Genomic DNA, 21,736 nt, shown 5'->3' with positions numbered 1-21,736 from the left:
CATGGTACATATGTACTGCATTTTTGTTATCCAGTCCACTGTTGATGGGCACTTAGGTTGATTCTGTGTCTTTCCTGTTGTGAATAGTGCTGTGATGAACATGTGAGTCCATATGTCTTTTTGGTAGAATGATTGATTTTGTAGGGGGTATATACCTAGTGATAGGATTGCTGGGTCAAATGGTAACTCTGTCTTAAGCTCTTTGAGAAATCTCTAAACTACTTTTCATAGTGGCTGGACTAATTTACGTTCCCACCAACAGTATATAAATGTTCCCTGTTTTCTGCGGCTGAGCCAACATCTGTTATTATTTGACTTTTTAGCAGTAGCCATTCTGGCTGGTGTGAAGTGGTATCTCATTGTGGTTTTGATTTGTGTTTCTCTGATGATTAGTGATGATGAGCATTTGTTGGCTGCTTGTATGTCTTTTATTGAGAAGTGTCTGTTAATGTCCTTTGCCCATTTTTTAATGTGGTTATTTGTTTTTTGCTTGTTGATTTAGGTTCCTTATAGATTCTGGATATTAGGTCTTTGTCAGATACAGTTATTTTCTCTTGTTCTGTAGGTTGTCTGTTTACTCTGTTGACAAGTGGGACCTAATTAAACTGAAGAGCTTCTGCATAGCAAATTTTCTTTAAAAAGAAAAAATATATATACTTACTATGGGCCAGGTAGTAGTGTAATTTCTCTCCAACTTTTTATTTTGACAACTTTCAAACTTAAAGTTACAAGAATAATACAATGATCACTGTTTACCCTTCACATAGATTCATTAGTCATTAACATTTTGCTCTTCCTAGACCCGTTACCCACACACCTACTTTTTAAATTTTTGCTGAACAATGACAGGAAGTTCTAGACATCATGATTCTTTACCTGTAAAATCTTTAGCACATGTCTAAGCACAATACAATTATCACACTGAGCAAATTGAACACTGATAGTGTCATGTATTACACATATTTTAAATCCCGGAAAAATTAAGAGTTGGCTAGGGAACAAAACTTATTTTTATAAAAGCTTGACTTAAAACATAGCTGATGCGAAACTCAGGTTTTAAGTGGTAAATAGGAAAACAATTTTTTTTTACCTTTACCACACTGTTTTTTGCCAGCCTTACAAATAGTTTTGGATTTTAAAAAAGTATATGAGCGTAAGAAATTTGGCAACTGTCTTCAAACTATTCAACATCTATCCTTCTTGTAAGTTACGTCCTCATTTTCTTACATTTATGATTATGACACTAAAAGGAAATGATAAAAACAGCTATAATTTAAATCTAAAATTTCTGACAGATTTTCTGTTTCTTACAGATTCTCTTGATTACTAATACATGTTCTCAGAGCCTTAAAGTTCCTTTGAGATTGTAAGAAACTTGGAAAATATAAATTTAGCAATTTTGTCTGCAGGTCTGTTTGTTCTTTGAGTGTATTGAACACTTCTACTCTGCCTTCCTCCAAGAGCGCTCCCACCTTGTATTAGTCAGTTCTCACACTGCTATAAAAATACTACCTGAGACTGGGTAATTTATAAACAAAGGAGGTTCAATTGGCTCACAGTTCCACATGGCTGGAGGCCTCAGGCAACTTGGCAGAAGGTGAAGGGGAAGCAAGGACCTACTTCACATGGTGGCAGGAGAGAGAAATATGTGCAGGAGGAACTTGCCAAACACTTATAAAACTATCAGACCTCCTGAGAACTCAATCACTATCACTAGAACAGTATGGGGGAAACAGCCCCTGTGATCCAGTCACCTCCCACAAGTTTCCTCCCTCAACACCTGGGGATTATGGGGATTACAATTCAACATGAAATTTGTATGGGGACATAAAGCCTAACCATATTACACCTGTTGAATAGTATATAATCAGAAATTGCACTAAGCCAGCAAGGTTTATGAGTATCTAAAATGGGTGTCTGCTAAGGAAAAAAAATGAGTTTAAACATCTAGTCCTGCAATGTTGTAAATTCTGAGAATTTGATATTTCATTTTGTCAGTCTCCTAAATATTAATAAAGAGATATTTACTGATTCTAGCTTTTGTTTTTAAGACACGCCCTCACACTCTTGCTCAGGCTAGGGAGCAGTGGCACAATCAGGGATCACTGCAGCCTCAACTTTCTGTGCTCAAGCAATCCTCTCATCTCAGCCTCCCGAGTAGATGGGTCCACAGGTGTGTGCCACCATGCCTGGTTAATTAAAAAAAAAATTTTTTTTTTATAAAGATGAGATCTCCCCATGTTGCCCAGGGTAGTCTTGAACTACTAGCCTCAAGCAGTCCTCCCACCTCAGCCCCCCAAAGTGTTTAGATTACAGGTGTGAGCCACAGTGCCCAGCCTGATTCTGCTTTTAATAGTGGTAATCTATTAAAATAAAGTTTAATACAAATCTAGCTTTACATATTTTTTGGAAACTGTAGATGAGTTTTGTTTATGTTTATTATGTTGATTCCATAAATTTTATAATATTAGGATAGCTTCTTAGAATCAATAAGCTTTTTGTATCAGTGTATTCTCACATTGCTATAAAGAAATACCTGAGACTGGGTAATTTATAAAGAAAAGAGGTTTAATTGGCTCACAGTTCTGCAGGATGTACATGAAGCATTAGCAGCTTTTGCTTCTGGGGAATCCTTAGGAAGCTTCCAATCATGGCAGAAGGCAAAAGGGGAGCAGGCATCTTACACATCAGGAGCAGGAGCATGAGAGCAAGGGGGAGGCTCTACACACTTTTAAACGACCGTTCTAAAAGGATACAAGCCTCTACATAGTTCTTCAGAATAACTTTGTGTTAGAATTACTGTTAAGGATATTCATTTCATTTTTGCATGTCAGTTTCTACAGTTAACCTAACCCAGCAAGGAGAACCATACATTTAAACATTCACTGCTTTACAACTTGATTTTTTGAAATTGCCTGTTATACTCAGCCTTACAGGATTCCAGTATGTTCTAATTAGACCTTTTAAGCTTTCTATGAGGTAGACATATTTTCTTCTTATAATTTTAATTTTATTTGGATGATCATAAGTATGTATAATATTTTATTACTGTCACATTTGCTTAAAATGTTAATGACTTTAGCATAGCATCTAGTATGTCACCTAAAATATTTACAGTTTTACGCTTAAAATCTTTAACATTCATTTCTGATAAATACATTTTTAAACATTCTGCTTAATATCTGTGTTGCTGATTGTGTAATTTTGCAGACAAGTTAACTTTTATGAAGAGTTCAGAGTACATGTGAAAACTGGCAGAATGTTGCATTCTTTTTCTAATACTGAACACTAATTATAAATTCTGTTATTATAGTAGGTATGTAAGACTTAATTGGAAAATAAGAGATAAAATACTTAGGAAAATGCTTTTTTCAGAACTGTAAAATTTAGTCCTAATATAGATGGGATTTTATTTTATTTCATAATTTTGAGACGTATTTTCCTTTTTAGGCCTTATAAAGCCATTATACAAGTTTTCCCTATGATTGAGAGTTTAATGACTTGTATTCAGAATTATGTAATGGGGCAGTAACAACTGTCTGAGAATTGTGAAGATTTGACTTAGAATGAATTAGAAAGCTAATTTTCCCATCTTGATGCTATTTTTAATTCCTTCTCTCTTCTGCATTGGATATTGGAATTTGATAAAATAATTTGCACTGTGCTTTGTCAGAGTATGGACCAAATCTCATTCTTCATTGTCCTCCTAGCCTAGCTGCAGTGGCTAGAACTGAGTAGGACCTCAATACAGTAAATGTTTATTGACTTGGATTACTTTCAACTACATTCCTTCTAGTTTCTTTAGAGTTTCAGTAAGTGAAGATACTGTTGCTTGTAAAGATTTAAACAAACACAGAAGGTAATCCTGTTGGAAGAACATTTTTTTCTCAATATTGAGTTGACCAAACCACAGACCTAAAGTGTACTTAGTAAACATTGAGATTTAATTCACTTGGTTTTTCCATTTTTTAAAAAACTGTGTTTCCGTAAAAAGGTGGACCATACTTTTGCTTTATTTGCTTTAGTTATTGTCTCAAATATGTCTTGAACTACTGCTAATAAATTTTATGTAATCTATAAATAACTAAGTAGTAACATATGTGCAACTTAACCGCATAAGGTCTATTACATAGTAAAAATTTATGTCTAATAGGGAAAGAGTTTATTTCATTACTATATTAACAGTAAATGCTAATTATTATCGATAATTATTATATTTATTAAAATTATATAAACAAATTATTTCAAATGATAAAATTGAATTTTTAGGTTCCTAATGTTATATGTAAGAATTTATAATGTCAGTGACATTGAACTGTTTAGTCTGTAGGAAGAAAATACTGCTGACTTTTCTTAAACCACCGTGTAATTTTATTTAGATACTGTGATTTTTAAAAACTCACCTTAAAACATATAATTGAATTTGCCAGCTTTAAAAAATGAATTGTAAGAGCATTATATGTTGTGGGGTGGAGGAAAGAAATGGTTTTCATGAAGGTTAAATCATATTCAGATTTATAAAACATTGTGTTTCTTAAATTTGCTTCTTAGACAATTGTAAAAAAATTTTAGGAGAAAATGCTAAACCCAATTATGGTTGTCAAGTCACTATTCAGTCTGAACAAGAAAAGCAGTTAATGAAACAATATCGACGTGAAGAAAAAAGAATTGCCAGACGAGAAAAAAAGGCTGGAGAAGATTTAGAAGTTTCAGAAGGACTTATGTGCTTTGATCCTAAGGAATTGCGGATACAAAGGTAATAAAAGCCAGGAGCTGAAAAATGCTTGTGTTGTAATTGCTGCTTTTACATATCATTATCACTTTTTAGTTTAGTCTTAGCAGTATAGATGATTTTTACTTCAAGTCACGTTTTCTTCATAGAAGTTTGTTTTATGAATACCTAATTTTCTGGGATAAGAAAGCAATGGTCTGTCTGCTTAATTAGAATATTCTTGGTCGCATCCAGGTAGATAAGAGATTTAGATTATAGAGCTAAGCTATTTTTAGGTGCTGTGTACACACCACTAGGTTAAGATTTATATAGCTTACATAAATTTATTTGAGATACATTTTATTTCTGTGCTCAATGTACCTTTTAAAAATTGTTGTTATTTAGAAGTAGAAAGGAGAAAAATGAAATATAAGCATTATTGCACTTGATTCTTTAAAGATTGAAACACATTTCAAAAAAGAAATGTATACCTTAATAAGTAAACATTTGAATTGTGAAAAAGCAAAATTGGAAAGAACATTAAATCAAACTTACCAAGTGGTGTTATCTATAAATAATATCTAAAAATGTACTGAATCCTATTTTGTCACTCAGAAAATTTCAGGATTCCTAAAATCTTCCTTTGTGTAGTTTAATTTCTTTTTTATGGTGGAAGGCTAGCTCCCAATATCTTTTATAATTGCCTTGTTTTGGTGTATGCATTACCTTTCAAGATAAACATTTCAAATTAGGCCTATTTTTATGTTTACAGAGAACAGGCACTTCTGAATGCTAGAAGTGTTCCAATTCTGAGCAGGCAGAGAGATGCAGACGTTGAAAAAATACATTATCCCCATGTGTATGATTCCCAGGCTGAAGCCATGAAAACATCAGCATTTATTGCTGGTGCAAAGGTATGTCATTGTTATATAACTACTGTTCAATAATATGTCTATTCTAAAGAAATGATGTGTGGATTTTCCCTGTTCCTTCGTGAGTCTAACACTAGTTGACTATGCTAAATTTTATTTTAAAGTATTGGGGAAAATGACATAATGTGGTGTATGTAAAGCTCCTGACATATAGTAGATATTCAGAACATATATGTTTCCCTCCTTTTCATTGTTTTTGCAATTTGTATTTTTGAGTTTTATCAGTTGCATTGCTGCTAGGCTAAACTTTATACTGTATGCTGTACATTTTCCTAATTATATGAATACATTTGTATTCAGGTATACCATCTAATTAGTGTATACTTTAAGATTTGTCAACATACTGTGGCCTGTGTGTTATATAAAATACCTGATATGTTAATGCTTTGTGTGAGTGGTTTTTTGCATTTGTTTTTGTTTTATTTAAGTTTGTTTTCTTTTAAATTAGCTAAGTTTATTTACCAGTGCTTTGTTATAAAACCAGTAGTGTTTTCTGTCTCTCTCTAAAGAATATTTACCAGAGCAAGTGTTTTATTTTTTATTATTATTGGATTTTTATTGTTGATGTTTATAGATGATTTTGCCAGAAGGAATCCAAAGAGAGAATAACAAGCTTTATGAAGAAGTAAGGATTCCCTACAGCGAACCAATGCCACTCAGCTTTGAGGAAAAGCCAGTTTATATCCAAGACTTAGATGAGGTGAGATGAGCCTTTTATAGAGTTGATAGTTTTGAGGCTTGGTATGCGGTATGAATGAATTTATACTGGAAAAATTGTTTTAAAACATTATTAGTTGGCAAATACAGTACAGACATATATAGTTGGTTACTAGAGAATTACAGTAGGAGAGTTTAAAAAATATATACACTATATTTCTTCATACATTAAACAAATGTGTGTATTTTTGTGCATATATTTCTATGTTTCATGTTTTTTTTCAGCTAAGATTTTGGTTTAACTTATGCAAACTGATTTAAATAAAATGTTAAAGGATTTATTTATTGTATTTGATTATATCAAATGATCAACCTATAATAAAATAGAATACATTGAGGGGGTGGCAAATTCTAAAGTAGTTTTAAGAATTTATTTTTTCTAAATTTTTAAATTTTGAATAATGTTTGCCTGTGGAAAATTGGCATGAATATTACTATCTTTATATCCTTTGCTTGGATTCACCATTTGTTAAAATTTTGGCACATTTGCTCTATTTCAAAATATAATATTCCTTAGTTTAGGTTAAAGTATTCATATTATTGAAAGTTAATCTTTTCCATATCAAAATTAAGTTGCTGTGGTTTTTCATGTATGTTCTATAGAATCATTCAGAAATAACAAATAATACAGGCAAGCAAAAACAGCAGCATAAAGCATCATAAAGAATACTCACAGCCAACCAAAATGAACTTCATTCTATATGTATGTGTCCATATGTATTTTCTTTTACAAAATGGAATTACATCATACACACTGTTTTGTGTGTGTATATATAGTTACATGTGTCTTTCTGTGTCAGTAAACATATTTCTGCAGCATCAGTTTATCACTACATACTATTCCATTTTATGCCTTTATTCTGAAATAACTTATAGTTTTAAGTTGTCTTTTACAATAAGTTCTTAGAGTAGAATAAAATTCTAGTTATATCTTGTATATCAGAAGTACTCATAGAACATTTTTATAATCCAAGTGCCTCGCTACTATTTAAGTCCTAATCTCTTCGAAGAGGTCCACGTATCAATATTTTGGGAATGATTTTTTGAAGCTCTATGGGTGATTCTACAATACAGCCAGGACTGACAGCCAATAAAACTAAACAATTATAATACAATTGTTATAAACCTTATCAATCATTATAAGCAATATCATCATTAAGATTTATTAAGTTTTATTTTATGTATTAAATATTTAATTTTAAGTTTTTTTTTTTTTTCATTTTTTTTTTTTTTTTGAGAACGAGTTTCACTCTTGTTGCCCAGGCTGGAATGCAATGGTGTGAACTCTCGGCTCACCGCAACCTCTGCCTCCTGGGTTCAAGGGTTCAAGCAATTCTCCTGCCTCAGCCTCCCAAGTAGCTGGGATTACAGGCATGCACCACTGTGCCCAGCTAATTTTTGTATTTTTGGTAGAGACAGGGTTTTGCCATGTTGGCCAGGCTGGTCTTGAACTCCTGACATCAAGTGATCCACCCGCCTCGGCCTCCCAAAGTGCTGAGATTACAGGCATGAGCCACCGCACCCGGTCTAAATCTTTACATTTTTAAAAAAACATCATTGACATTTATTTAAATTAATAATGAATGAAACAGGCTTTTAAACTTTTCTATCATACTTATTTCTAAATAAGTACTTTGTTCCATTTTTATTTGGATTCTTGGAGTAAAAGAGTTTTTCTGAGTAGGTTAATTCCCTCTGCCACCTTAATGTGCATATCTTATGTAATCTAATATATTCACAGACCTGAGGATTAGGATGTGGAGATTTTTGGGGGGCATCATTATTCTGCCTACCACACGTGATGTAGATGACCACAGTTTTGTTTTTGTTTTTGTTTTAAACTATTCACCTACTGAAGGACATTTATTTTATTGATAGTTTTTGGTGAAACTATATTCGTCTGCCATAACAAAAGACCACAGACCAGGTGGCTTAAAGAGCAGAAACTGCTTTTCTCACAGCTCTGGAGGCTGAAAGTCACAGATCAGGTGGTGCTAGCAGATTTTGTTTCTGGTGAGGATTTCTTCCTGGCTTGCAGGTAGTTACTTCTGCCTTCTTCCTGTGTTTGCACATAGCCTCTTCTCTATGTGTGTATGAAGAGAGACCTCTGGTGTTTCTTCCTCTTTTTTCAGGTTCACCAGCCCTATCAGGTTAGGACTCCACCCTCATGACTTCATTTAACCGTAATTACCTCCCTAAAAGTCCTGTCTTTAAAACAGTCACATTGAGGGGTAAGGGCTTCAGCATACAAATGTTGAAGGGCATAGTTCTTTCCATAACACAGATAAAGCTGTTATAAACCTGGTATGCAGATTTTTGTGTGAATATAAGTTTTCATTCTGTTTAATAAATGTCCAGGAATGCATTTGCTGGGTCATATTGCAACTGCATGCTTAGGTGTTTAAGACACTACCAAACCGTTTTCTAGAGTGACTGTACCATTTAACACAGCCATGAGCAATTCGATATAGTCTAGTTTCTCCACATACTAACCAGCATTTGGTGTTGTCACTGTTTTTTATTTTTATTTTAGCCACTTATATTTTTATGTATTATTTGTATTTTTATTTTAGCCATCTGATTGTAGTGATTTCTCATTGTGGTTTTAATTTGTACTTTTCTAATGGCTAATAATAACTGGGGAATAATACATTTAAGTGAAATTTGTCATTATAAATAAATAAACCATTTGCTATCATATCACTGTAGATATTGATCCTGCCAGACATCATAAGCTTGAGTAATAATACAGACATTGGGAGAAAAAATAGACATTAACAGAATGTCAGATAGTTTAGTAGATGTTTCTTTTGTCTTGGATCTTTTTTGTACCAGGTAGGATCTTTTATGTGTCAGAGAAAGTGCTATTGAAGATGAAGGTCTGTCGTTTTTCACTGAGATCATAATTGCATGCTATTCCTAACTGTCCTAAGATGCTTTTATGTCCTTTTACTGACTGTCACGTTGGATAAGTTTAATAACTTCTGTAATTTGATTAAAAACTTAAGGAGAATTTAAAAATTCTAGTACATGCAAAAATACCATTAATGTCATTAAATGGATTTTGTACTTTCTTGGAAAGGGAGCAATGTAAAAAATGTAGATGCATCTCTTGATTAGTCAGGAGTCACTCAGTTGGAACTCTTAGAAATCTAAGTCAAAGCAAGCAAGGGTGACAATTTATGGCTTTTCTACCTGGATTGTCCAGAAGTAAAGCTGCCTATGTGCCCAGCTTGGCATATAGGCTCAAATGTTATCATCAGATTTTTTTCTCCTCTTTGTCTCTTTTTCTTTATCTCCATTTCCTTTTTTTCTTTTTCCTCCCCTCTTTTCCTGCTTTCTCTTACCCACCCCCTTTTGTGTTTCTCTTATTATTTTTCATCCCCTGATTCCCAGATAGGCTTTCTCCATATAACCAGGGAAAAATGTGTGACAGCAGAAGCAGCAAACATGACCGTTTCCCCATACTATAATCCCAGAAGCAATGGGTTTTTTTTTTCCAACCAGTTCTGCCAGGAAAACAAAAAAACCTCCTAGGATGAACTCTGATTTTCCTGACTTAGGTCACCAGTTCATTTCTGAACCAATTCCTTTCCCTGTGATGTGATGTGAATGGCGTTCTTACTGACACATGGCTACTCACTTGTATATCCTCATTATCAGCTCCCCATGAGCCACCAGGAGTCAAAGGGGAGTTTCCCAAAGGAAAGGAGAGTGCTATTATTACCCTTAAAAGTAGGATGAGAAAGATGCTAAGACAGAACCATGTCTTTGATATTTTTGGTGAGAAACTCAGGTTTACTTCTTTGTTGGTGTTAAATATGTTGACTTCTGTCTATTTCCACAGTTAGGACTTAGATTTTTTAAGAGTCAGTAGGGTGTTATTCAGCAAAAATGGACTACTGGCCCAAACATAACACTTGATTTAGAAAAGTAATATAAAAGATGCATATAATATTTCATTTTAAAATTTACAATAATTGAGTCCTATAAAATCTGATTGTAAAGAATTTAAGATTTAAGTTTTCTATGAGCCTAGCTTCTTGAATCCTGTGCTTATTCGGCTAAGTTCTGGGAAAATAAAGAATAGGATATTATCTCTGATCTTAAGTTACTCAATGTAGTGTATCTGTTCCATTTCCATGGAAATAAGTGGTACAGTTGGGTTATGTTGTACAAAGTTCTATGGCAGCAGAAAAGGCAGACTAAAGAGATCAAGGAAGAAGCTTTCATGAAGGATATGAAAGCATACACTTTTGCCAGATAGACAAAGCAGGTGGTGGTGTATGCCACACAAAGGATGTTGCATGAAATTGCTGTTACCTTTGGACATCAAGCACTTCAGTCTTATTAGCATGTAGGCCATATGTGGAGAGTGCCAGGAAATGAGACTGGAAAAAGACAATTGCCTGCACATGAAGGGCTTTGAAAACCATGCTAAGAGGTTTACACTCAATATTGTGGGAAATATTACTTCTTAAAAATAGGAAAGTAAATGATCAGGTGTTTTCACTTAAAGGAATTACTCTGGCTGCAACACAAAGTTGAAGGTCTAGAGTAGAGCTGCTGCAATAATTCAAGGAAGAAAAGCTGCAAGCCTAAATTAAGAAAGGGGCAGCCTATATATACAGGGGACAACTGAGAGAAATTTAGCTGCTAGTGTATGTAAGACCTGATGACTGATTAAATAGGAGGGGATGAGGCAGAGAGAAGAATTTAGAATGAGATATAGGCTTTTTGTTTTGAGCAGTGTTGGTGAGTGATAGTGCCATTTACTAAGGTGAGGAATAGGAAATAGGAAAAACTTTTGTGCATGTTCAGCATACAGTGTTAGTTAGGAGCAAGTGTTAGTTAGGAGCAAGACCCCTGAATGTAGGCTGAGTTTCAGTCTTCACTATCCCACATTCTATCTGCCAGACTTTAGGCAAGTTACTTAACCTTTAGGCAAGTTACTTAACCTTTCTGCAACACATGATTCAAATTGCCAGGTGAGGCTAGGCTTGTATTAAGGAAATTTAGTACTTGCCAAATTAAATTAGAAATTTAATTTTTGCTCCATTTAATTTGTGCCACATTTGTGTTTCCTTCCTCATGAAATTTATGAAATCATCTTTGCTATGATGTCTGTAAATTAAAAAAAATGGTAAATTAAATTTTCAGTTTCAAACTTCATAATTTGTTAATATTTCTTGATACGACCTCTTAAAAAGGCTGTGATTTCAAGGCCATGGTTCTGATGAAATTGGTGGCATGTGTGACAGTATAATAAACAGCCTTGTGGGATGCTTTAGAAAAAGGCTTTTTAATTTGGGGCATGACCAGGTTTTAGTGACATTTCATTGTCTTCAAAGTGATCTCATGAAAAGGATCCATACTCTGAAGTATTTTTCTGGATGCTTCTTTAACTTTCTTGCCTTCATGATTTGATTGAATCAAAATATGTTGAACAAAGTAAAGCCAAAGTAAAAGTCACACTTCTTTATAACTTCTCTATTTGACTTTTTCCAAATTTTCGGTCTTAAGATAACCACAAATGTCAGTAATTATAATGACTGCTTTGTTTAGTTCTATCAGTTAATTAGAAACTAGTTTAAGATGTTTTGCTATGGTGACTATGTTGCCAGGCTTTTCAGATCTTGTAGGATAGCATCCACTACTACTCCACATGGGTTTGGAATGAAAAAGTAGCTGAATAGCATAAATGAACATAAAAATAATTTATTTCATAAAGGTAATTTCCAAAGTGACAATTAAGAAATGGAGAGAAGAAAACCCTTTCATATTTTATTTTCTTATCTGGTTTGTGGATTGCCACCCTGCTCCAAGCCAAATTATTAATTTTCTCATGCAACTCAAGTTAAAGTTTCTGTTTTAGCCTGTATCCTGAGGTCAGTTGTTAGTGCAATTTTAAAAACAGTTTTTCTCATTTTTTCATTCTAAATTGGATGAACTTGTTTAGGACATGCTGAATAAAACAACATTGGAGGAAACTATTAAATTCTTAGATAGAACCTTAAATAAAGTATTATAGGGTACTTTAATGGAAATGTAAATTTTCTCTTCTTTCCAGATATATAAATAGTTGGACTATATAAGGAGTTTTTCAAAAATAATTTATAGCACTAGCAATAATTAATTGACCATGATGATTTTACTAGTTCTAGAGCTTTGCCAGATAGACAAAGCAGGTGGTGGTGTATGCCACACAAAGGATGTTGCATGAAATTGCTGTTACCTTTGGATATCAAGCACTTCAGTCTTATTAGCATGTAGGCCATATGTGGAGAGTGCCAGGAATATCAAAGCTAGGGAACAGATATTTTAACCAAAAAAAATTCATACATTTAAAGATAGACATAATTTTACCACCTCTTGTCAATAAATTATTCAGATGTATTGTATAGCAAAATATTTGCTTCACGAAATATACCCAATTAGCACTGTTTGTATGATTTAGTGTATCAACAGGAAGTATTACTGGTTTCTAGGTATATTAAACTGATTAAGCCACAGTACAATACTAGGAAAACTGATAAGTACAGTACTGTATTATGATGATTACTTGTTGAGATTTAGTTTTTCTATCACTTTGAATACTTCTGGCTGCAGAAAACCTAGCTCATAAAAACATATACTATTATGTTATAAATAATAATTTATAGGAAGCCAAATAGTCCAGGTTCGTCCATTTGTTTGCTCAATGATGCTATTCAGAACCCAACTTGTTAATGTCTTTCTATTCTGCTATCCTCATTTTTTTGGCTTTTCCTCAAATTAACTCTCATCATGGCTGTTATTCCAGGGTCACTGTGCAAAAAAAGTCCAGTAAGAAATGAGGACTAAATTTTCCTGTGTCTATTTTAAGAGTGAGGAAATATTTTCCAGGATTCAAGGGAAACAAGTTTGCCATGTTTGGCTTAGTGAAACACATGATTTTGTCAAAGAGGCCAGATTTTCTGAATAAAAAAGTGCATTTTCATTAGAAAAAACAAAATGAAACAGTGATTGTGTGTGGACAGCTAACGCTGTCTGTGATAGGATGTGTCAGAACAAGGTTACTGGGATCATTGCAGAGTATGGCTGTTAATGAAGACTTCTTGGAGAACATGAGACTTGAGTTGCTTCTTGACTGCTTAGTCTGTGGGCATTGATCTTCATCGGAAACAGTGATAATGAACTAAACAATTGTTTCCTTAATAGAGCTGTTTTGGGTATACAGAGAAAAGAATAGTTCTTGACTTCATGTTGCAACTTTTGTGTGGACCTGGCATAAAATGTTGGAGATTATGTCTTATCTGTGACATCTTTTATACAGAATCTTCCAAATTAAGTTTTGTTATAAAAACTTGGTCACTGTCAAGAAGGCCATGATTTTATGTGTTGGAGTATTATTTAGAGTGCAACTATGGAAACTGTAAGGAAAAACTTTTAAAATTCTCAGTTTATTCTTGAAAGTAATTGGGGATTTTTGATACATTCAGTGTGGTACATGCTTTTAATAATTATTATTTTCTGTTTGGGCTATCAATAGATGCTTAATATGTTTAAAAATGATATATTGGATAATCTTCCTTATAAAATTATAAATAAGAAATTTTTATCAATTTTTGACTCTCAGCAATTATTTAAATTATTAAAAAATAATGTTTACTTGTTATGAAAATGCTTTATCATTCAAAACTATGAAACACCCAAGTCTTATTTGAGGGGAAATACTGTCTATGTTTTCTCTTCTAAATAAGAATTCATTTTGTCTGTATGCCCAAAACCTTTTCAGGATTGCAGTACCGTATAGTCTACTGGGAACACTTGCAAACAGATAACTAGGAAAAGGGCACCAGCTGCTTCAAAAATACCTGCTAAACTACAGAAAAAGTTATAACTAACATCTGCCTCTAACTAGGAGTAAAGTAATCAAACAAAATAATTTTCTTTACAACCTACACTTTATTGATTTTATAGCAGGAAATTAGAATGGAGAAGATTAAAAACTTAAAGACATTGAACTGTCCCAGTATAACTTTTCAACTTGAATGAATTCAGAAATCTGAAAATCTAATGAATTTAAGTTATATTCTGGAAATTCCAAATTGCTTTAGAACTGGATTTAGTCCATGTCTTTCAATATATCAGTGTGTTGTGGTTTCACAGACCTACAACAACACACAGAAATATTTGATATTTACAGGTTGCTATTTATAGATTTTCTTCTTGTTATTTAGTTTGAAAGTACATATGTATTGGTTATTGGTCATCAGTAATAATTTCTTGAGTTCATGATTGATGCAAAGCATTGTACTAGGAGTTATGGTGGATACACAGAGGTTTAGAACTATGATCCTGGCTTTAAGAAGCTTGCTATCCAGTTAGGTAGGACTGATGGGAGTTCCCTCCTTCACCATTTGCACATTTTGTGACACGAATCAAGTTAAATTATGCCTCTGAGTTTCAGTTTCCTTTTCAGACTATTTATTTTGATGATTACATGAGTTAGCACACAGAAAATGTATAGTGGTTTTTGTGATATACTTTAGGTAATCGGTAAATTCTTAGCTCAAGAAATGCTTATATAAACTGTCCCTTCAATTAATTTCTCACATTGATAGCTGACTTTTGTTGTTTTATCTGGGAACCCTTCACATAAACATCATATAAATCCTGGCACATCACGTCAACCCTGACAGCAAGAGGTTTAGAGAGGACGTGTTTAAATTTGATCCAGTGGTGCAAATATCAAAGTGGTTAAGTAAACATAGGTTGCTTCATTTTGCATTCTCAATAAGGTCTCACGTTCTTGGTAAATTTCAGAGTTATATGAAAATAAGCATATAATTTTGGTAAATTTTAAATGTACCAGGGAATCAGTGTATAAAGGGATCTCAATTATTAAGCCATCGGTACAATATCATGTTTTGTTACACAGCTTTCATGATTTCTTCCGCTAAATGTTTTGCTTGTTCCTTCAAGTCTTTACGTATTATACAAGAAGTTCAAACAAAATATTTTTCTTATAGGGACCTCTTTCTTCTAAACTTATACGTTTTTAACAGAAATTTTTCTGAGTAAAATGTACTTTGTTCTTTCCAGAGTAGATTGTATTAAATTATTAAACATAGATGAATCAGAAAACTTAATCACTGTGTTGTGGATGGGTAGGATATTTGATAATAATTCTCAGGTTTGCTTATACTTAATAGTCATCTGGGAGCTGTTAAGAAATGTACAAATTACTATTTCCCCCTGGCAAATGAATGAAAATCTCAAGTGTTGACCAGCAGCCCCTAACCTGAGCATGAAGAACCTGTTTTTAAAAGCACTGGCCTCCTCAGTACATCCTTTGAGCTCCATCCTTTGAGTCTCCAGTTGTCTGTGACTAACTCCTTCCCCTACTCTTTTGAGTTGTGGGTTCAGTGTATTTGGAAAGCTTATACTCTGAGCTTCAGATCTCATGTAGAGAAGCATAAAAGTCAACGGGATTTATAAGTTACTTCCCTAAATTTAAAGATAAGATGATCAATCATATATATAAATGGCCTCCCCACCAAATTCTTTCCTCTGCCCTCCCTCCTGTCCTCCCTTCCTTCCTTCCTCCTTTCCTTTCCTCCCCTCATTTTGTTGTATTGCTTTATTTTTTGTTTTGTTTTTGTTGTCTTTTTTGAAAGCCTGGTGTATTAAAGTTATCATTTGACTACTATAAAATACACCCTTTTGGGGGTACAGTGTAGTAGATTTTGTAAATATCAACATGAACAAAAACATGTAAATATCAACACAATCAAAAACAACATTTTCATCATGTCAAAAACTTTACTACTGCCTCTTTTACCTCTTTCCCACCACTCCCAGTTCCTGCAGACCACTGGTCTGTTTATTTTCCCTATGGTTTTGACTTTTCCAAAATGTCATATAAGTATCATAAAATTCCTTGTGTAATGCTTATGTATACGTCATATAAGTTACTTGTATAATATCATGTAAGTGTCATGAATATTTTGAATCTGGTTTCTGTCACTTAATGTAATACATTAGACATTCATCCATATTGCTCTATGTTTCAGTACTTGTTTTTTTTTTCATGGCTGAAACGTATTACATTTTGTATCCGTACTTCAATTTGTTCATTCTCCATTTGAAGTACTTTTAGCTTGTTTGCAACTTTTGCTGATTATGACTTAAACTGTTCATGTACAGGTATTTATTTGAACATATATTTTTGTTTTCCTAGGGTAAATAGGAATGGAATTGCTACATTATATAGTAAATATGTACTTATCTTTGTAAGAAACTGGCAAACTGTTTTCCAAAATGAATGGAGCATTTTGTATTTCCACCAGCAATGTATGAGTATTCCACTTACCCTATATTTTTGTCAGCACATAATATTGTCGGTTTAAAAATTTTTAAACATTTTACTTAGTTGTGTAGTAGTATCTCATTATGGTTTTGGTTTGCATTTCCTTAATGACTAATAATGTTGAGCAGCTTTTTGTGTCCTTACTTGTCATTCTTCTTTGGTGAGATTTCTGCTTAAATAATTTGTCAAGTTTTTAATTGAGTAATTTGTTTTCCTGTTAATGAATTTTGAGACTTCTTTGTGTAGTCTGAATACAGTCCGTTTTCAGATATGTGTTTGTAATATTTTCTCCCATTTTGTGACTTGTTTTTTCACAAAATGTCTTCAGTGGAGCAAATGTATTAGTACCCTTGAAGTTCATTCTATAAACAAAAAAAAAAACTCGATTATGCTTTTTGGTCATATGTAAGCAATTTTTGCCTCACGCGAGGTTATTAAGATTTTCTTCGTAATTTTCTTCTGTAAATTTTAAAGTTGGAGCTCTTACATTTAGGTATATAATCCATTTATAATTGGTTTTTATATATGGTGAAATGTAAGGGTCAAGGTTTTTGTTTGTTTTTGCATATAGCTGTCCAGTTGTTCAGGCATCATTTATCAAAAAGATTTCTCTCTACATTGATTTGTTTTTGCATGTTTGTTAAACGTTTGTTAAAAATCAGTTGATCATATACATACAGGTGAGCTTATTTTTGATTCCCTGCATGTCTATTCTTTGCCATGCTGTCTGGATTACTGAAGCTTTATAGTAAGTCTTGAAAACAGGTGTTAGTATTTGGTTATTCTATGTCTTCGATTTTCCATATGAATCGTGTTGTTTTCTACAAAATTTTCTGCTGAGATTTTAACTGGGATTCCATTGAATCTATAGATTATTTGATGAGGATTTAAATCTTAATATCAAACCCTCCAAACCACAAAGATTATATACTTCTTCATTTATTTTTCTTTGATTTTTTTCATGATTAATTTGTAATTTTTAGGATATGTTTTACGACTGTTGTGTTAAATTTATACCTATGTATTTCATGTTTATGTTTTCTGGTATTATTTTAAAACTCTTTCAAATTCAACCTCTAATTGTTCATTAAGTATAGAGAAATACAAGGGGGTGTCAGTTGCTTGTCAGAAGGCAAATCCTACAAGATGGAGTCATATATAACATAAAATAATCATGGGAGTGACAGCCTCTGCCATATTCTTCTGTTGGCTAGAAACAAGTCACAGGTCCCACTATGCTTGAGGGGAAAGGATTAAACTAGGGCATGAACACCAGGAGGCAGGCATCTGGGATTATTTGGGCTTACCTTAGGGTCTGTCTGCCACTTAAAATCTTACTTTGCACATTTACATTTCCAAACCATCTAAAACTGATACTTACTGATAATATGAAGTAAGATAAAGATTTAAATTCCATTTTTAAATATAGATAATCAGTTAACTCTAGCCCCATTTTGACCCATTTTTAAGACTCAATTTCATCCCTGTTAGAAATCAGGTATGTATAAGTATGCCTCTGGTATATCATCTGAAGTGCGGTTTCAAAGTGTTGTAGCCTAAAATTATTTAATTGGTATTACAAACAGTCTTGGCTGAGATTGTAGGATCTAACTTCTGATAAACAGCTGCACTTCTAATCATGGCAATAAAACTGAAGCTAAAGAGTCTCTGTTAAATTCTGTTGAATCCAACAATGAAAATGTCATTTTTAGTTTCTTGGCTGATATTTATGGTAATAATTGGTTTCAGCTCTGAGTTGAACCTTTAAATTACTTTTACTAGTTTGCTCAAAGTCTTTGCAAAGGATAAAATATTTGGGCACTTATACGGTCAAGTCCATAAAATATTACAGATGTTGAATCAAGGGTAATTATTTAATTTAAATTTGTTATAGTTCATATGAGTTTAAACTTTCCAAACTGATTAAATAGTGCAAGAATGCCATTTTAAATGTACATCTCCTTAAACAAGAGAATTTCATTATTAGAATCCTCAATGGGAATTTTTGGAAGACATTATTTCCATCCGCATTATATCTAACAATTTAATATAATGACATACCATGAGCATGTGTATGAATGTAACTATTGACATAGCACCCTAAAGAAGATGTTTCAGAATGACATCTGACATGTTGAGTTATTGTTAAGAGTGTGCTGGTGAAAACCCAGATGTACAATCTGGATGGTTTGTCAGTAGAGCTTGTTATGATTGTGCAGCCCAAGTTTTGTTTCTCTTTTAAAATCCCCCATTGAGAACTTTGTGTTTTTTCTTCAGTCTTCCTAAACATTCAGCTTTTGCTCAAATCATACCTCTCCTGGGAATTAGGAGGGCATCTTACCCTCCCAAGAAGAGGGTATGCCTCTCTGACTCCCATTATATCTGAAATTCTTGTTAAACATGGTATTGCTATTGTTTGTTTTTTCTCTCCTGTGTTGTGTCTTCAAGACCAGTAATAACATCTTATTTATCATTTTACCATCAGGCTGTGAAGTATATTTCTAAGGTCCATCTGTATTTAGCTGACATTTGTTTTTGTTATGCTTCTTAGACTTTTCTGTATGAGAAGTTTTAGGAATTGACACTTACAGGCATATTGAGTATTGTCAGTATTTTATACAGTGTAAATGAGCTGGGCATGGTGGCTCACACCTGTAATCCTAGCACTTTGGGAGGCCAAGGCAGGAGGATCACTTGGGCCTAGGAGTTCAAGGCCAGCCTGGGCAACATAGTGAGACCCCATTTCTAAACATATTTTTTAAAATTAAAAAAATTAGCCAGACATGGTACTGCATGCCTGTAGTCCTAGGTACTCTGGAGGCTTATGTGGGAGGTTCACTTGAGTCCAGGAGTTTGAGATTGCAGTGAGCCGATGATCATGCTACTGCATTCCAGCCTGGGCAGCAGAACGAGACCCTGTCTTTAAATTAATAAACGATTAAATGAGTGAATGGATGGTGTAAATGCATTCAGTTAAGTAACATAAAAATATATGAATAATAAATTGCAATGTCTAATTAATTTAGGTGGGATTTCTTACTGCTTTCTTCATATGTAATACAATTTGGCTCAGTTTCATTGTAGAAAATAAGTAACTTGATTTTCACAAAATCTAACAATCTCACTTCTTTCACAGATTTAATATTAGGTTACTCTTTTGAGGTGCTTTGTTACTAAGACTTAATTTCCTCTACTCAGATCATCTGATTCAAAATATATTTTTATCGTAAAGCATTAAAACACATGACTCTTCAGTAAAGAGAAAATAACAGTGTCCATGTACTGTCTTTCATATCTCTTAATAAAATTTAGTAATTTTTCAGTGCACTTTCAAGAGGGGGTACAAATTAGAAATTTGGTGTTTGTAAAGATGTAGGACTCTATATTACAGAATGAAAAAGAGGGTTAGTCAGTTATTTTGTATTACTACAAAAGCATTAGGTATTTCTATTTATAAAGAAATATTGTTGTTTTAATACATGAAGTCAATACAGAATAGGCCTTTCTCCTTTTGTTTATTTTATCTAAACAGAAAAGATTTCTGTAGGGCTGATGATAAAATTTATCTATTACCAAAAAATAATATTAAAAATGTAACATCTACATTTATAATATAAAATAGAAAGTGAAAATGTCTTTATAGTCCCAACTTTAGCAGAATTCTTTGATATATATCTTTCCAGAATGTTTTTGTATTAATATATTTAATTAGCTACTATTTTGTGGCATACTTTTTTTCTCTTTTAGACACATTTTTCTATAAGCAAATATGTCTTCATTCTTATCTACCGTGATTCATGGAGAATGTGTCATGAATTACTTACTCCAATACCCTATTTGTAGATATTCAGCTTGTGTCTGTTTTTTTCTTATTGTAAATGATGTTAAAGCAAGCATCTTTGTGCTTATTTATCTATCTGACATTCTTATTCAGTTATTTCGCTTGGATACTTTTTTGTCTAGGAGTTAGGTTAAATGATGTATGCACATTTGTAATATGAATTGGATATAAGCAATATATTTGAAGATATAAACATTACCAAGAGCAATAAATTTTTAATAAATCTTCAACACTCAGATTAATAAAATTGTATCTTATTCTATTTTGCATTTATTTATTAGGGAAGTCAGTATTTTCATTGACTGTATTTTCATATTTAGTTTTATAAATTATGTTACTTGGTTAAAAATCAGTTTTAGGAATCAAAAAATTTACCTTAAAAATAAAAGTGTAAAGTAATGAAATTAATAAGTTTTACAAGCCTTTAACTTGGACTTTTAATTTAGACTTTGGTGTCAGATACCTGAGTTTCAATCTTTGCTCTGCAATTTACTAGCCATTTATCCTGGTTAAGTTCTTTAAACTCACCATGCCCTACTTCCCCCCTCTTTAAAAGAAGGACGATAAAAAGACCTACCGCATAAATTTTCTTTGGATGCTAAGTGAAATAATGCACTTAAAGCATTTAAAACAAAACCTCATATGTAGTACGTGCTCAGTAAAAATGGTTGCTAAATAGATTAGTGAACAGTTTACTTGCCAAATTAAATAAGGAATATATTATCTTATGTATTTACCTTTAATTTAAGAGCATTAGAAATCACATTGTAGTTTTTGTGTTCAGTTAGTCTACTGACTTGTCACAAATTATGTAGTTTGGGATTGGTGTATTTAGTGAAGTAGTATGTAAGATCTTCTCTGGTTTCTTTAAACGTTACAATGTGGAGGTATGTGGAAAGAAAGTCATAGTTGGAGCTCATGAAATGGGTTTCTGGTAGTCTAGATTCATCTGCTGCAATGTGAGCTCTTGAGGACAGACCACGTCCTCAAAGCCTGACACTTGGTAGGCAGCGTTTAGTACATGATGGAGGAGTAGGAGGATACATTTTAGATAACAGCAAGATGTGATTTAGGCTTGCAGTTAATAACAGATCTGGTCCTCTGGTGAAGCCATTGAGGTTTAGATGAGACCACGGGTCTGATGTCACAAATATTGGAGGTAGAAAGAACACTTGCTGTTT

At 33.1% G+C, this 21,736-nt stretch overlaps 1 protein-coding gene across 6 annotated transcripts in view; it reads left to right on the top strand.

Annotated features, from left to right (window-relative positions):
* Positions 1-21,736, top strand: part of ASCC3 (activating signal cointegrator 1 complex subunit 3) — a 373,136-nt gene that overhangs the window by 76,274 nt on the left and 275,126 nt on the right. For 5 of the 6 annotated variants that reach the window (NM_006828.4, XM_011535394.4, XM_047418108.1 and 2 more), the window contains 3 exons: positions 4,552-4,756; positions 5,484-5,625; positions 6,218-6,343. In NM_006828.4, coding sequence (NP_006819.2) covers positions 4,552-4,756; positions 5,484-5,625; positions 6,218-6,343 — 473 coding nt within the window. Of the gene's footprint in view, positions 1-4,551; positions 4,757-5,483; positions 5,626-6,217; positions 6,344-21,736 lie in introns of those variants that run through there. The other variant, XM_047418109.1, reaches the window with a different exon arrangement.

This window comes from Homo sapiens, chromosome 6 (assembly GCF_000001405.40).
Source record: "Homo sapiens chromosome 6, GRCh38.p14 Primary Assembly".
Taxonomy (NCBI): Eukaryota; Metazoa; Chordata; class Mammalia; order Primates; family Hominidae; genus Homo; species Homo sapiens.
This window is presented reverse-complemented; position numbering and strand designations above follow the sequence as displayed.